Below are 19,000 nucleotides of genomic sequence, written 5' to 3'. Positions count from 1 at the left end.
CAAAGAGTACGTGTCAAAATCAGCCTCAGAAACTTCCACCCTTTATACACGGTACCCAGTAAAGCGCACCTCAAATTGGCTTAGTAAGTAAGTCCCTTCTACATTTCATTTGAACCATGAGGTGTAAAACCATAACATTTACCTTCATCTTTTGAATATGAGGTCAAACTCTCAAGGATTAACTCTATTTGGACATGAGAAATAATTCCTCTCAAAAATTAATGAAATAGTAAAAAAAAAAAATTAGAGCTTCTACAAATCCTGGTTCAAGTGAGGATTCAAGAATCAGAATGTACTATTAATGTGACCCAATTTATGCCCACAGTTTGTGAGTATCCCCGGTAATATGTATGCACTGAAATATACTTTTCCTCACATTTATTTGGCTTTAGAATACATAAAAATCAAAATTCCAACAATTGTTTCTAAACATTTTTAAGTTACATAATGTTTTGAGATGCTGACAAAAACAAGACTGTCTCCTCAGAAATATGTACATTTGCATCTCCATGCTAAATTTCATAATTTTTCAAGGGACGCATGGTCCTCTTGCATTTCTTCTGCAGAGCCGTTGGGCTTTGATATGGTTTGGCTGTGTCCTCACCCAAATCTCATCTTGCATTGTAGCTCCCACAATTCCCACGTGTCATTGGACGAACCTGGTGGGAGGTAACTGAATCATGGGAGCAGGTCTTTCCTCTGCTGTTCTCGTGATAGTGAGTAAGTCTCATGAGATCTGATGGTTTTAAAAACGGAAGTTTCCGTGCGTAAGCTCTTTTCTCTTGTCTGCCGCCATTCAAGACAGCCTTTGAGGCCTCCCAAGCCACGGGGAGCTCTAAGTCCAGTAAACCTCTGTCTTTTGTAAATTGCCCATTCTTGGGTATGTGTTTATCAGCAGCGTGAAAATGGACTAATACAGTAAATTGGCACCAGTAGAGTGGGGCGCTGCTGAAAAGATACCTGAAAATGTGGAAGCAACTTTGGAACCGGGTAACAGGCAGGGGTTGGAATAGTTTGGAGGGCTCAGAAGACAGGAAAATGTGGGAAATTTTGGAACTTCCTAGAGACTTGTTGAATGGCTTTGATCAAAAGGCTAATAGTGATATGGACAATGAAATCCAGGCTGAGGTGGTCTCAGATGGAGATGAGGAACTTGTTGGAAACTGGACTCTTGCTATGTTTTAGCAAAGAAACTGGCGGCAGAATGTTTTCTGTTTGAGTTACAGGTTAGAGGGCTTTCAAGATAGTGCTGTTCTACCCCAGTGTTGGACTGAGTTACTGAGTTTTATTAAAACTATTCTTTCAGGTTTTGAAAACTACACCGTTTAGTGTGGGGCTGTGCTATGGAAGCAATCTGAAAGTCAGAGTCAATGCTTTTGTGAGAACCAGTCTATAATAATGACCAAAACTGTTGTACTGAGTCAAGCTTATGTTCCACTCCTTCTCTTAATATGAGTTATCTCATAAGATACCCCGAGGTCTTCAGGCAAATGGTCTTCAGAGTGTTTGGATTACTTGCCCTCCCAGTTTGTCAGACATGCCTGCATGTGCTCTTAGACTCTAATTGGTATCTTAGCTACATCAATCAACATGTAATTGTTCTTCATATACTATACTCCAGTGTTGAAATATTACAAACCATTCCATATCAAAGTAAGCAAACAACCTTATCTCTGACTCTGGGCATTAGCCTACGAATTGCTTAAAGACCTACCATCTTACAGTTTTAAGGTTCTTTTTTCAAAGTCCAGCTAGTAGCCAATAATTTCTACCCTAGTCTGTGTATCCAGTAATTAACATAGGATGAGGAGTCAGACCAATAGCTCCACTACTTTCTATATATGTGACTTTGGGCAACTTTTCTACCTTTGCTGAGCCTGCATCCTCATTTGCAAAATGGTAACAGTATGGTACCTCCCTCTTAAGGTTGCTGTGAGAGTTAAGTGTGGTATGAATGCAGGACCTGGTGCAGAATAAGCATCCATCACACCTCAGCAATTTTACTTCCTGCAGGTTGTAATGGTTATGCTACTGGACAGTTGCTTCTCCACCATGGCCTCTTGCTGTTCTGCCTTGAAGTTTATAAGATAAACCAGAGTTTCTCCATCAACTCATGAAACTACAAAACATCTGCTGTAGAGCAGCAATAATATTTCCCCCAGACTGATTCAAGTGTGAATCCTGGCTCCTTCCCTTTCTGAGCCAATGATCTTGGTCAGGCCACTTAACCTCTCCGAGCCTCAGTTAATCTAACGTGAAAATAAGGTGCTGTGAGGATCAATGCGTAAATCTACGCCACATGGAACAAGCATATAGCAGGGGCTTAAAGAATTGTAATGCCTTTCCCCTTTTCTTTTCCTTCTTAAAGGAATTTGTCGTACGAACACAGTTATGGTAGCTTAAATTTTCTTTCTTTTTTTTTTCTTTCTTTCTTTCTTTCTTTTTTAAGAAACAGTTTCATTGTGTCATCCAATCTGGAGTGCAATGGCACCATCATGGCTCACTGCAGCCTCAACCTCCTGGGCTCAAGCAATCCTCCCACCTCAGCCACCTAAGTATCTGGGACCACAGGCACATGCCACCATGCCCAGCTAATTTTTGTATTTTCTGTAAAAACAGTTTTACCATGTTGCCCAGGCTGGCCTCAAACTCCTGAGCTCAAGCAATCCTCCTGCGCTAGCCTCCCAAAGTGTTGGGATTATAGGTGTGAGCCACTGTGCCCAGCCTAAATTTTCCATGTTATTTCTAAACCAGAATTAATTAAATCACAGTCTGTTAGGGCTGAAGTCATAGATTTCAGAAATCATTTAATTCAATATCCTCATTTATTTATTTTAAAATTATATAATTAAAAATTATAAAATACATGTTTGTGGTAAAACTTCAAACACTATAAAATACATACAATAATATGGACAAAATACTTTTCTCCCTGAAATTAATTTCTGTTAACAGTTTGATGTGAATGCTTCAAGAGATTGTTATGTGCATAGATATACACAAAATTTTATATACAGACAGATAAACATATATAACTATATAAATAGATTATTAAAATATGTCTATATTTACATATTTATATACAGTTCTGAAATATTGTCATCCAAAATCCTTTTCCTTTCAATATTTTAAATATGGCTTATTTAACTACTGCATAAAGCTACCTTATATGAATGTATCACTATATGATGATGTGTCAATCATAGCCCTTAGTTGGCTTGCAATGTTTAGCTATTAAAAGCAATACTGTAGCAAGTAATCCTTGTATGAAACTGTTTTTTTTAATAGACTAGATGTATAGAGGTAGAACACTAGGTGAAAGGTCATGCACAGTCTACATTTTGACAGCTACTGCAAAATTGACCCTTAAAAGATTGAACCAATGTAACATAATAGGGCATGAACATGGCTGTTTCTCCTGCTTTTTTTCATCAATTCTTTTTAATTTTCACAAGTATTTTTAACTTTGCCAATATGATAGGATCAAAATGATATCTCATTGTAGTTTTAGTTTGTATTTTTCTGAGTTATAATGAGACTGAAATTTTTTTATGTATTTTGGCTATTTAATTTTTAGTTAGGAATTGCTTTTTCAAATTGTTAACCTGTTTTCCATTTATTTTTAATTTTTTTAATGATTTGCTTGGGCTTTTTCTTTATTATGAATATTGATCTTCAGTTATAAATGTTACAGATTTTTTTTCTTTTTCCATTTTTTAAAAGTTTACATGTTTTGCCTTTATTTAGTTATTATTTCATCAAAGAGAAGTGGTAAAATGTTATAGAGTTAAGTCTTTTGGGGTTTTCAATTTTAGCTTCCATGTTTTCTCTTTTTCTTAGGCAAGTCTTCTTTACCCTAAGGCTGTAAAATATATTCTTTATATTTTCTCAATATTTTAACTTCTTTCTTCATTTGAAATTCGAGACCATTTGAGATTTATTTTTCTGTATGGGTTGGCATTAAGTCTGAATTATTCTTTTTCTAACCAGTTATTTAATTTTACCTGTATTTGTCTTTTCTGATTCTGCTGCTATGAATGCTGCTTTACTACCTGATCTTACATTATAGAAATCTGAAGCCCCAGAGAGATTATGTGATTTTTCTAGAGGGATGCTTTACAACTGGGGGAAGTCTGCCCTGCCAAGGAATATTTGGCAATGTATGGAGAAATGTCTGGTTGTAATTACTAGGAGAGTGCTGCTGGCATTTAGTGGTAGAAGCCAAGGATGTTGCTAAACATCCTAAAATGCACAAGACAGGCCCCCCACAAGAAATTATCTGTCCTAAAATGTCAATCGTGCTGAGGTTGAGAAATCTTGGAATCATCACAGTATATAAATACTGGTCATAAAAAAATTTACTTAATAAAGGTATTTAAACATGTTTTTAAGGTATTTAAAATTATTAGCCTTTAGTATCTGTTGATAAATCTTCCAAAAGTTGTTTGCATATAAGCTTGCCATTGTGAGTTAGTAGATGTCCATTTTCCAGGTGAGAAAAAGATGTGAGCTTTTCTCATTGTCTCAGGAGCAATGATACTTCATTTCTATGAGATGCTCCCTGTTCTTCATGACACTGAAATTTTTCATTCTCACCAACTCTAGAACAGACATTGAATCCTTTGGATAGCAACGGCATATCATAATTGTGTGTTCTTTTCAAAGCACTGGTTTTAGTCATGCCAAGTGGAAACAAATTTTCAACCATGACTTTACCTTTCATATTAAAAAAAAAAATCAGACACAGAATCATCAGAAACACCAAATTAATGGTAATGATTTCAGGTCCTACTCCAGACCCACGGAAGCAAAGATTCCAGGTTTGGGGCCTAGGACTTTGTATTTTCATGAGGTGAACCAAATGATTCTGAGGGTGAGCTGAGTTTGGGAGCCAGTGCTGTGCCACACTCACAGGCAGGCTACCTGCAGGAAGAGAAGCTCTAATCCCCATGCTACAAATTCTCCCAGCTTGGCTTCTTTCTCCAGAGAGGAATTTGGTCTCAGAAACTGAAAGATTCATGTCTGCAGTAGGATAGTGAAGAAATTAAAAATAAAAATAAGAAAGTGAAAGAAGACTAGTTTTTTTAGGGTTAAAGATTTTCCTATATTCACCACATCAAAAATGTAGTAAAATGGTGACTCATACTAACCATGACCTCTTTGAGGTTTTAAAATGTGTAAGGAGAAACTACAGGGATTGAAGACAAAACCATGCCAGTTACTCGTTTCTGTGACAGCTAATGATAGTTTATGTTGGTTCAGTTTTCTTTGATCTCAAAGTGGATTTAAATATTAATTAAGCATCGTAAAACCAGCTTGCATTTAACAAATATAGCAAAGCCTAGAGAATAGGATCACATGGATTTGGTCTGCAGAATTCCAATTGGAAAATGCTGTGAATCACCTAATGCTGCACATAGATGCATTTTGCTTCACTTTTAATCCCAAAAATTGGATATTATATTATCAAATTGCAAAACATCAGTGGCCACATATTCACTAACTTGCTAGAACTTTCAAGTAAAACTTCCTTTGCTATCTTATACAAGATAATTGAAGTTGTTTAAAATGTTTGTTTAAAAACAACTATGACTTCAACTACTTATCTGTGCAGATTCTATCATATCATATAGCCAAATAAAACAAAGCACTACTGTGTAAGTCTAGGCAGATATAACCAAAGTTCTGTTATTTGTAATACCATTTCTAATTTTGGGGATCACTGAAGTAGTGTCACCCTTATCACTGTACTTCATGATATGTGAAGGTCATAAATTTGAATTGTATATGATAAATATATACTACTGCTACTCATTTACTTTATATGTGTTGAAGCCTCTACAACATTTTTTGTTTGAAAAGATTTGCTTCTAAATATGTCCCTGGATAAGTTGGTTTCTATAATCCTTCTCTCCTCTGACATTATATCTAGATCCTTTTAAAAAATTAGAAAATATCTACTTGTATTTTCAGCCTTTGCGAATTTGAAGTAGGAAGTAGAGAAATGGCTGGGAATTATTTTAGTCCTGGAGCACTTAGAGGGGAGTCAGGCTTGTGCGGCTTCCAAATTTAGGGTTTAGGATCAGCCAGCAAGCAGCACAAAGCACCACAAACCTTTACGGAGGAAGAGGGGAACTATATGATGGGAGAACCACCCAGACACTGAAGTGGCAGGCATTGCGGTTTCCCTGGCTGGTGTGGGGCAGAAGGGCAAGGTTGTGCAACTCTGCTTTTGTCCTGCTCTGATTTTTAAAGTTATTACATCACAGGACTATGTGGTGTTGAGGCTGACAAACCCCTGGCAGATCAGATGAGTAAACTCAGACCAAGAAAAGGGAAACAACTTGCCCAAATGTTTAAGATCAGCTTCAGCATGATGGAGGCTAAGGCAAGCAAGGGGCAGAAGGAAATGAAGAGATGAGAGAGAGCAAGTCGGGTAAGAAGAGGCCCTTTCAAGCACCTCATAGCATTCAGGAGACATCCCAGCCCTTTAAAAGAAGTAAATGGTAAGTGTCTCTGTATTCAGAGATTGCCTCTCCTTAACACATTCTGGCTTTTGGATTGAGGCCTTGGGAGTCTCAGCTCCATTTCCAGAACGTATCAGCATGTTGCCTACCTTTAACTGTCGCTAATGTTGACATATATCATTCCCAAAAGCTTTCCCCCAAAGGTTCCTGACCTAGAGTGTTTATTTGATTGTCTGTGATGTCTGGCATATCTTTCCAACAGAGGAAATAGAGCCTATTCTTAATCACATTAATACATACCAAACAAAATAAATCAAAACGCACAACAAAAAAATCCAGAAACTTTATAGACAATTTAAAAAAACAATGCCCTTAAAGATATAGAAGAAAATTGTTTCCCCCTTTCCCATCCCTTCAAACCTGTAATATACCTAAGGAAAGATGGGACAATCAAGGATCAGAAAAGACTCCAGTTGTCATTGGATTTCTTTAAAACTTTTTTCCCAGGGCCACTAGAGGGCCAGGCACAAAGATGTGCAGACTTGGTTTGGGGCCTGGGAATCCCAGACGAAGCCTTAAAGCCACAGGGTCACCTAGCAGGGAGTCTCACTTACAAGATACAGTAGAGTTCCCCTTCCTGTGTCTGAGTGTTCTCATTGTTCAATTTCCACCTATGAGTGAGAACATGCAGTGTTTGGTTTTTTGTCCTTGCGATAGTTTGCTACCAACATGGCACATGTATACATATGTAACAAACCTGCACGTTGTGCACCTGTACCCTAGAACTTAAAGCATAATTTAAAAAAATCCAATAAACAGTCCTCTGGAAAAAATAAAGTTTCTCATCTACAGAAAAAAAAAATAGAGAAGGGTGGAGTTCAACAGACCTGGGTTCAAATTCCAGCTCTGCCTGTCACCAGCTGTGGGCCCTTGGACACATTTCTGTTTTCAGATTGCTCACTCATAAACGACTAATAACAGCATCTTCCTCACAGCACTGTTGTAAAGCCTAAGTAAAATATAGGTGTGAGTTGCACAGCATGGCACCTGGCGTACAGAAGCTACTTAAGATGTTGTTGCTATTTATTGTTATTATTAGGATGAATATCAGTTTGTAGGCTTGAGATAGAAAAAATTAGAAGTGAAGCTGATTACTTAGAAATCTTCTATCTCATTTTTCAGTTAAAATATTAATATAAAAGAAGGCTGCAACAGGCAATCTCAACAGTAGACCATGCTCTGTAGTAATTACACTTTACTGGGCTGGGTTTAGCTCCAGCTGAACTAGTACTCAGCTACTGTGGATGCCATGGGCTTTGCCACATCAATACTTAGCAAGTGAGTAATTTGGATGTTCTCTATGTAGCAATTTGTGTAGACAGCCAAAGCAGAAATGTACTTTAAGGCTATACAGATTGAATCTCTGTATTGATTAAATCATCAGATCTATTGTTGGTTGGCTATGTACCACGAGAATTTTGAAATAGGCAGGCCTAAAAGACTTTCTACATTTTGCCATAATGAGGTTTGTCCATCCACAAAACCTATCTGACACCCCAAAACACTGATACTACTAGTGTTTTTGTTTTTATTTTACTGTGTTTTTAAATTTGTTTTAGGCAGGGTCTTGCTCTGTTGCACAGGCTGGAGCAGTGGTGTGATCACAGCTCACTACAGCCTCAATCTCTCACATTCATGTGATCCTTCCACTTCAGCCTCCCAAGTATCTAGGACTGCAGGTGCATGAAACCATGCCTGGCTAATTTTTGTGTTTTTTGCAGAGACAGGTTTTGCCATGTTGCTCCTTGAGCCCAGGAGGCTGGCCTCAAACTTCTGGTCTAGAGCGATCTGCCTGCCTTGGCCTTCCACAGTGCTGCGATTACAGGTGTGAGCCACTGTGCCTGGCCCTGACAGTGTTTTCCATCTAACTGTTCTAGGGAAAAAAAAAAAAATCTCACTTATTTTTTCCGCTTTAAGAAGTTACTCCATTTCCATGCATCTCTTTCTTCCCTCTTTCTCCAGTAGATTGTTAGGTCAAGAGGAAGGCAAAAAGGCAAGCAGATTATCTTGCTTAACACATGAATACAAAATAAAAGGTTTTCTTTCTTTCCCCAAAAAAAGTTTACCACTTATTTCCTTCTTTAATATTTACTCAAATTTGCGATTAATTCCCTTTAAAATTATTCTTATTTATAGATAAATTTGTATAACTCCCTCATGGGAAATTTGGCAATGTGTGTAAAAAATTTAAATACTCCTAACTCATAAATTTATTTTTAGGAGCCATCTGTGGTGAACCAAAATATTTATAAGAAAATAGTGAAAAATTGGAAGTGGCATAAATAGTCATGTGAGTGAACTGGTTATAGAAATTATAATTCGTGTTTACAACAAAATATTCAGTCATTACAAAAATATTATAGAGGTATATTATAGGTAGTACAAAAGTGTTCATAATATGTTTTAACAGAGAAAACGAAGGCTGCTAAATAATACTTATTGAATACTTTTCCAATTATAAATGGACATGAACAGAAATGGGACCAGAGAGAAATCTATCAAAATATTAACCAAGTAGGTTTCTCTGGGTGAAAAGGAAATTATAATTTTTGTTAGTTTCTATTTTCTAAAATGGCTATAATAAACACATCTTATTTTTATAATTAGACAAAATACAGTAAGTTTTTATTTAATTTAAGAAAGTATTGCCAAGTCTATTTTCATCTAAGAGAACAATAGTTCAATTTAGGAGTGGAAAGAGCCACGGGCATGACCTACCTAAATGCAGAGTCCATTTGTTGAAGGACGGCTGATTCTGGAATGGCTTTTCCTCAGGTCGGATGCTATATTATAAAGGAAAGCCAAAGTAGTGGAGGAAACAGGACATTGACCATGCAGAGCTTTCCCTATAATCAGCCATCACCTTAGCAACCAGCTTCGCTGCCTCAGGCCTAAATTCTTCTGTAGCTGCTTTAATTTATGGATACCATTTTCCCTGTCTGCCTAGTGGGAATTCATTAGGCAGTGTCCCGATGTGTAGGTGTACATCACTGGGGCTGTGGAAGGTTTTAGCTGATAGATGAACATGATATTATGTGACCTTGAATAACATAATATGCCAATCAGTCTCTGTTATTAGTTTCTTCTTGCTGCCATAACAAATTTCCACAAACTCAGTGGCTTAAAAAGCACATAAATTTATTCTCTTACCTTCTGGAGGTCATAATTCTAAGATCAAGGTGTTGGTAGGGCTATATTCCTCTGGAGACCAGAGAAGAACCCACTTCCTTGACTTTTTTACTTCTAGCTACTAGAGACTGCCTCCATTCCTTGGCTCCTAGCACATCACTCCAACCTTGGGTCCATTGTAACATCTCCTTTTTCTAACTTTGGCCTACTTGCCTCTCTCCTATAAGGGCCCTTGTGATTACACTGGGCCTAACCAGATGACCCAGCATGATCTCCTTACTTCAAGATCCCAACTTAATCACATATGCAAAGTTCCTTTTGCCATATAAGGTAACATATTCACAGGCTCCTGAGATTAGAATATGGACATCATTGGGGGCCATTATTCATCCTATCTTATTACAGTCTCCCTATCAAGTTTCCTTCAGTCTTCTGAGCACATCAAGGAGGAAGTCTAGCTTTTGCTTATGGCATTGTTTCTAGCACTTGCTAATCTCCCTTTCAAACAAAGAGCATGCATTTAACAAAAAGAAGGCAGATATTAAACTCAGGTGCACTGGCTAGGCATGGCATCTATCTACTTTATTATCAGTCATCTACTTTTTATTATGTTATGGTTACCTTCAAGTTTTGGCAAATGATATTTTATTTTTTTCTCATTTACACTATAGCTGCATAAAATTTCTTTTAAAAAGTGAAATAGTGAATTAATTTTGAGACTTTTAAGCAAACAATATTATTGGTAGCATGCAGATTTTGCAAACATTGTGAATGAAGAATGTGAATGACTAGCGTTTGGGAAATATTGCCATAGGAGAATACTGCCCTATTAAGATTAGGGAAGAGTCATGTTGTTTGGGGATGACTATGATCCCTCCCTTAGCTCTGTATGAGGCCTCTCTTGAGGAATGTGATGCTATTTTCTTTCTGCTTCTTTTGACAGTTGATTCTTTACAGGGATAGAGGGTGAGCCAGCAAGACAGGGAGAGGTACTATCCCTTTTATTCATGAAGAATGAAAATTGACAATGGCAAATCTCTGGGACATTATGTATTGGTCATTGGCTATATGCAAATCTCCTTCCAAGATTTGCTGAGAGGAAAAGGCAAGTCCCTGCATTACAGGTGTGAGCCCCTTTCTGGTAGAGGACTACAAGTCAGGGCAGTTAAAGGTAGAAAAGGGATGGGTTCATAGGAAAAGGAACAATACAGTGCTGTGGAGTTTAGACAGAGAGGTGATCCTTTTAGTTGGAAGCAGGGGATGGAATAGAGTGAGAATAGGGAGGATCAGGAAACTCTTCATGGTGAAGACAGTTTTTCTTCAGAAACTTTGCCAAGAATTTTCTCAAGAAGCATTTAGGGTGGGGGCCTCATTATCACCAACACTTTAGGTTTTTTTCCTGATGGTATTTTCAGTATTAGGAAGTTTTCCTGAGTACCAACTACTTGCCAGACACTACGCTTGGGACTCCATACATGCTACTATATGATTAATGCTACAACTGCTAAAGCAATGAGGCTGGTTTTCTTACTTCCATTTTTCAGAAGTGCAAGCTGAGTCTTACTTGCCTGAGATCATATAGCCTGTAAGTAGCAGACGTTTTCTTCAAGTGCTGTCTGGTTGCAATGTTGATAAGCTTGCCCTGCAATAAACTGATTTCAGCAGCTTTGGTCTGAAGTGATTCTCCCAGTCTGGAACTAATTGAACTAATCGAACTAATCGAGCTCCGTGTCAATATGTCCAACTTCAGCTAGAACTTACCCAGTCTCACTCAGCAGCTTTTTCCTAGGGCTTTATCCAGAGCTGTCCAACAGACAGCGCTGATGGAAATACTTCATATGTGTGCAGTAACCACTAGTTACATGTGGTATCAAGCACATAAAATGTGACTAAGACTGAGGACTAAATTTATTTTATTTGATTTGAATTAATTAGAATTTAAATTAATATAGCCACATGTGGCTAGTGGCTACTGTATTGGACAGAACAGTATGTAGCTAGACTCATTCATATTAAAGTTAAAATCATCCAAGCAGTAACAGTGATCCAGGAGGCAGAGTGGACATGGCTCAGGCTGTACTGAGTCACATTAACTTTGCTCTAGAAGACAACTTTACAAAGGAACTAAAAGGGACAGGATTAAAGATGACTGAATACTGGGCTCCAGAAATTTGTAACCATCAGCTTAGCAGATCATATATTCTTCAGTGGAGCTGAAAATTGAGAAGTCTGCTCTTCACAGTGATTTGGAACTTTCCAATCCCAGAGAAAAGTTGACCAAGGAACTGCCCAAGACTGAGTCCATATGGAAGAACTTCATCTTCTCTAGGAAGAAAGTGGCAAGGTTTCATAAAATAAATGAATGGATTCACAGAATCAGCAATAAAATTACTTTATTACATATAAAATGTTATAATGGTAGGAAATCCCCAAAAGCCAATACAGGCTACTCGGTCATCTTTGAATAAGTTAGATGTGGGAAAGTGGGAGAACTGCAGTTAATTCATCACCTTTGTCTTTGGCAGTGCTGGTCATGAAGTTTTATATCCTACAATAATATCCTGGCACAAACTGCTGTGGCTGTTTGAGGATAGGTAACATCCAGAGCACCATCAAACCTCAGAGACTGGATTTTTTAAGTGGCAAAAAGATAGCCAGCCTTAGCTGTGGGAGTAGTATACACATTGTCCTTGCAATAGAAGAAGAAGTCTTTACTTGGGGGCCATAACGTGTATAGCCAGCTGGGATCTGGGACAACTAATCATGGTTTCTCTACGAATTTGTCAAACAAGTCATTGAAGTTGCCTATGGGTCTCACCATTCTTTGGCGCTAATATCTGATGGAGAGGTATTTGCCTGGGGTTATAGTAACTCTAGGCATGTAAGATATGGATCAACAGTTAATCAGCCAATCGCTCAGGGAGTCACTGGCTGCTTACGGAATAAAAAGGCTGTGAACACAGCATGTGGGCAGGTGTGCTCCATGGTGGCGGTAGACACTGGGGAGGCTACTTGAACCTACAGACATACATTAGTATTAACAGATGAAGGCCAAGTATATGCTTGGGGTGCCAATTATGGGCAGTTGGGCACTGGCAATAAAAGCAACCATTCCTATCCTACCTTTGTCATTGTGGAAAAGGACAGGATTATAGAGATTGCAGTCTGTCACTCTTCCCACACATCTGCTGCCAAGACCCAGGGTGGGTGTGTGTACATGTGGGGCCAGGGCCAGTTGATGATATTCCCTCACCTCACCCACGTCTGCACTGATGACACATTTATCTGCTTTGCTGCTCCTGCCATCCATGGCGCCTCCTCTCTGTGGAACCTGATGACCACCCTCGCAGTGGCCGAGTTACTGAAGAGGGAATTTGACAACCTGGACACTGCAGTCTTGAAATTTGTGGTCAGTGGAAAGTATATTTATGCACATAAAGTCCTCAAAATTTGATGTATGTGAGCATGTTCATTCATTGCTGGAAGGTAATGAGGATGTTATTGTAGAAATGAGTGAATTTTCATACTCTGTTTACTGGGCCTTCCTGGAATACCTGTACACAAACAGCATCAGTCTTTCTCCTGAGGAGGCAGTAGGATTGCAAGATTTGGCTACATTTTATAAAGAAAATCATTTGAAAAAAGCTCTGCCAACAATCAAGCAAGGCATCCGTGAGCAGAGTGCAGTCCCTCTGCTCTCGGCTGTTGTGAAGTATGACGCCTGGGATTTGGAAGAAGTCTGCTTCAGGTTTTGCATAAACCATCTGACTATAGTAACAAATTTCAGGCTTTGCATAAACGGACTATGATCTCCTGAAGAACTTTATCAGAAAAGAAAGCAGAGTTAAAGCCTTTAAAAATGGATCCCATCTTCAGAAAAGGAGTTTCTGAACCTTTCTATTTCTCCTGCAAAAGCCAGAAATAATCATTTCTCTTGAATTGATACTATGTTTGAAGAGTTACATTTGGCTGAGTACTTGCGTCTGTCAAAAGAAGGATGGTGGCGAGTAATTTTCATCTTACTAAATCCAGAGTTTATGTAGAAAGCATTGAATACTCTGATCAGATGTGACTAAGGCCAAGGAAAAAAAATGAAATACGTTCTTTACCATTTCCTCTTTTGAGTCACTTAAGTTGGTACCTTTTGTACCCTGGTCTCAGTATATGCTATTCTGGCCCAAACATTCTGTTATTCAGCGATACCACATAGACAGCCTGATAAGGAGTGCTGTTCCTACCACATTGTCAGTACCCAGCATGGTGCCTTGCATATAATAGGCACTCAATTTATTATAAATCTTCAGTACGCCCGGATAATAGCTTTAGTTGTGGAGTACTCGATGAAGTACTTGCACAAAATAAATCTAAAATACTCTGTAATTACTGAAGTTCTTATTCTTCTGGTACATGATTCTGAGAAATAGTGGCTAATTTAGAGCATTAATTACAATTCGCCAAAAGGCCTTGGCTATTAAATTGCCCAAGATCCAAGGGCTAATTTTGATTTTCTATTTACTCTGAGTCATTAATTTCTCACATGGGATTATTGAGTATGAAGTATTATTTTTGAATGAAATCCCTGTATTGATGTGCCTCACATAATGACATAAGGTCCTTTACTTTGCTCTGTGTTGAGGGACTTGCCTCTGTAAGTGAAAAAGACTATGTATTTTTCTTGTAGTTGGCTTTCATGTCACTACAAAATAGGTCTTTTAATCTGGCAGTAGTATAATTATAAAGTACTATCTGAAAAGGAACTAATACTTACATTTCATGGGCACCATTAATAAGAATGAGATAAATTTATACTATTTATTTATTTATTTAGAGAGAGTCTCGCTCTGTCACCCAGACTGGAGTGCAGCAGTGCAATCTTGGCTCACTGCAACCTTTGCCTCCCAGGTTCAAGCAGTTCTCCTGCTGTAGCCTCCTAAGTATCTGGGATTACAGGCATGCACCACCATGCCTGGCTAATTTTTTGTATCTTTAGTAGAGGTGGGGTTTCATCATGTTGGCCAGGGTGGTCTTGAACTCCTGACCTCAAATGATCCACCTGCCTTGGCCTCCTAAAGTGCTGGAATTACAGGCATGAGAATTTATACATTTTAGATCAAAACAAGTCACTCAATTGCAAAAGAGAAACTGGAATGGAACATAGTGTCAGATTCTTCTAATATGTATCTCACAATATAATATTATGTAAATAAAACTCCTTTGGAATTAGGAATCTTGTTCTGATACTGAACTATTTGATAATAAGGTGCTTATTTGAAGATAACAGAAAAAAATCATCTAATCAGATTATTTTGTTTTATGTTGGAAGACAATGAGGCCCAGAAAATGTGACTTGCTCAAGGTAAAACAAAATAAACCTCCAAAAATCAAATGAACTAAACAGATATAGATGCTTGCTTTTAGAAATTAAGATACCTGACTTCCAATCACAAGTTTTCCCATTCTGGAAAGGGAAGAAAACACGTGGAGTAAGCTGAGAAATATGGTTACCAGCCTATGGTGAGATGGTGGATGATCTCCAAAGGTCACTCAGGAAGGATGTGGTTACCATTAAGCCTGGCCACATGTGAATCGCAGCTGATAAAAATATTGCATCTTCTTTGGGGAGTACTTTCATTTTTTAGCACAGCTAATGCTAAGATTTTTTTTAAAAAAACTCAGAATAAAATATAAGAAACAAGAATATACTGAAATAAAAAGAATACGGTATGAAATAAAAAGAAAAAAGGTCAAAAAGGTGGCTTTCATATGTAATATTTTACATACACCTATCCAGAAATATATGCATAGATATGTACAATTTAATACATATATTAATATACATACATAGAAAGATACATACATTTAGGTGAAACAAACAATATCCTGGAAAAACATACCAAAATTGATGCAGTGAGACAAACTTCATTTGTAATGTTTAATTTCCAGACCCTGGTAGTAAATATAGATGTTCAGTGTAGTGTATTTTATATGGTTTTGCAGGTCTGCAATTGTTCATAATAAAAATGCAAGAGTTTGATGGATAAAGAAAGATGGACAAGATAAAGAAAAACTGAAAGAAAACTAAAAATGATTAAACACACTGGAGACTGTAAAGCACAGAATTGCATAGAAGTACGTTAGTGATCCTGAGAAAGACTTGATTACCAAGCCCACAGGTCAGAGAAAAAGACAAAGAAATAAAAATACTCTTTGACAGAGAAGATGGTAGACATTGAAAAAACATATAGGTAACAGATTATTGACTAGATTAAAACAAAGGACGAAAAGGAATTGATGTCAATATTCGAAGGCATGATAGAAGAAAACTTGGGTTGAAGAAACATGTAAGTGCAGATTGAAAGAGTTCGCTGCAAAATTGAAATCAAAGGGGATACCTTTGCAAAAATATGCTTGCTAAGTTCATTTCATTACAGAGATGAAAACCAAACCATAATAATATAAAACAAGTATATAAGCAGAAAGTTAATTATTTTCTAAAAATCCACAACGGGTTACCTACAAATAGATAAAAACAAAGGTGACTTTACACACTTCTGTTGTAATGCTAAACTCTGGAAGAAAATAGAGAAATGTCTACAGAATTTTGTGGTAGAAAGATGTTTTAACCTTTTGTGTTAAGGCAACAAAAAACATTCTCAGACACTCAAGGGTGCAAACAATATTTAAAACATATTTCTTCGTGAAAAAAATTACTTGAAACATATCAAATGGCTAGCAGGTATATCAAAAAAGTGGAAAACAAAGTTAAAATTAGATACATATAAATAACTATGGAAATACACATATGTATTATGCCAATGCCAAAAAATACACTTGAAGCTATTGAGTATCACACTATACTTACGATATTTGCATTTTATAATTATTAAAATATACGTGTAACTTTGTAATATGAATACGTATTTCATTATAACATTAAACATTCTCAGGTTCCATGTACACCTGAGACAAGTCTTGTGGAGTATGTGGTCAGTAATTTTCCCTTGGCTTCACCCCAATACTGATTTGTTTGCTTCTGTTTTGAATGTTCAGAACTCCCTGAACCACACACTGTTGAAGTCATACTTTCATAGACTGTAGGACCAGGTTTTCATTACCTAGAGTTTCCTTGGGAATCTTCTCTTTGAGGTAGGGGTAGAGTGGCAGGATGTGGAAGGTATTTTTAAGTGCTTATTTTGTTTTTAATTTTTAATTTTTGTGGGGGTATATAGTGGGTGTATATATTTATGGGATATATGAGATACTTTGATACAGTCATATAATATATAATCACATCAGGGTAAATAGGGTACTCATCACCTCAAGCATTTATCCTTTGTGTTACAAACCATCCAATTATACTCTTAGTTATTTTTAAATGTACAATTAAATTATTGACTATAGTCACCCTGTTGTGCTATCAAATACCATACAAGTGCTTATTTTGATTAAGCTTATTAAGGCCACATCATATCCCAAATAAATAATCTTTCTTAGCTAAGTTGACTGCTTTGATAAGGAAAGAAATTCACACACCAACTAAAATGGCCAATATGTGTAGAAGGTACAAAAAGAAGAAAGGTTTGACTCCAGAATTCCTCCATAAATGGAATTTATGGACAATCTTATAGGAAATAGAATGGAGGAGAATGATGAAACTTTCTTGAAGGTGCATTCCATAGAAAGCGTACTGTTTTTATAGAATTTACCTTTTTATATCTATATACTAAAAATTGTTGGTGTTTTATATTAATACTTCACATAGATTTTTAATGATTGCACACTATTATTACTGTGATTACTTTTATTTGGTTTGGCTCTGTGGGAGATATGATGATGCTGATGGAGGTTTTGACAGAGCTAAAGACATGTCACATCTTGACAATGGCTGGAGGAAGGACTTCATAGTCAATCAAGGTATAAATACTAGCAATCTGTTTTCACCCTACTCCAAAGCACTTCTTAAATCACATTAGAACTCAAAAATGTAATGAGAACCACGTCACTGTTTTGCAATCTCTAAATGCCAAATTAAAATATGAATCAAGGATTGTGTAGTCAAGTCAATGGGAACTCTGACTTGAGTAACATTTTCCCTTGAGGCAGTGTACAGATTACAAAAGGTATTAGCACAGAAAATTTAGCTTTGGGTGGGACTTGCAATTAAGTCAAATTAATGAATCTGAGCGGAGTGTTTTTTTTTTTATTTTCAAGACATGCCATTAAGCAGTGAAACACCAAAAAGATAAAGCCAAAACTTGGAAATAACCCACGTGTTTTTCAGTGAGTGAATAGTTAAACAAACTGTGGTGCATGCATACCGTGCAATGCTATTCAGCAATAAGGAGGAACAAACTTGATATATGCAACAACTTGGATAGATCTCAAGGACATCATGCTGAGTAAAAAAAAGCCAATATCAAGGCCACATACTCCATGATTTTATTTATAAGACATTATAGCAATGGAGAACAGATAAGTTGTCAGGGATCAAGTTCAAGGAGAGCTGGTCATGGTGGTAGTGGTGGTTGACCATAAAGGAATAGCAAAAGTGAATTTAGTGTGGTAATGGAGAGTTCTATATCTTAAATGCTTCTGTTTTCAAGCTACTTAAAATTTATTAGGGCAGTAGACTTACACAGAACTCTCCAAAAAGATAATTCAGAAGCATAATAAAAAGTGATTTAAGCTGGGCGCGGTGGCTCATGCCTGTAATCCCAGCACTTTGAGAGGCCGAGGCGGGGTGGATTGCCTGAGGTCAGGAGTTCGAGATCAGCCTGGCCAACATAGTGAAACCCTATCTCTACTAAAAATACAAAAAATTAGCTGGGCATGTGATGGGCACCTGTACTCCCAGCTACTTGGGAGGCTGAGGCAGGAGAATTGCTAGAACCTAGGAGGCAGAGGTTGCAGTGAACTGAGATCGCACCATTGTACTCCAGCCTGGGCAACTTCACTGGGCAACAGTGAAACCCTGTCTAAAAAAAAAAAGTGATTTAGAAGAGGGAACAGTAATTCTAGAACATATAGTTCAGGCAAAACGTTTCAGAAATGGTGGTATTGTGGCCAGACCTTGGAAAATGTGGGTAACCTTCCTATGAGAGGAGAATGCAGAGGTGATCAAAGTTGAACAAAGCCCTGATGGTGAAACACGTGCCTTGTTCTTTGGTTAATGAGTCTCAAAAAGGCTGTCACTTGAGCAAGACTTCGCCTCTCTGAAACTGATTGATTATACCGATTGAAAGAAATTCACCAATGTTCTGAGTCAGAATTTACATTTGACATCAATTTGTATTGAATAACATTCATGTTATTATTTACCTTGTTCTATTAAAAATAGCAATGAG

General features: G+C 37.3%; 1 pseudogene; it reads left to right on the top strand.

Moving 5' to 3' along the window:
* RCBTB2P1 (RCC1 and BTB domain containing protein 2 pseudogene 1) lies at window positions 11,689–14,939 on the top strand (annotated as a pseudogene).

The sequence above is a fragment of the Homo sapiens genome, chromosome 10 (genome assembly GCF_000001405.40).
Source record: "Homo sapiens chromosome 10, GRCh38.p14 Primary Assembly".
NCBI classification, from domain to species: domain Eukaryota; kingdom Metazoa; phylum Chordata; class Mammalia; order Primates; family Hominidae; genus Homo; species Homo sapiens.
The sequence above is the reverse complement of the archived record's forward strand: the minus strand, read 5'-3'. Positions and strand labels throughout refer to the sequence as shown.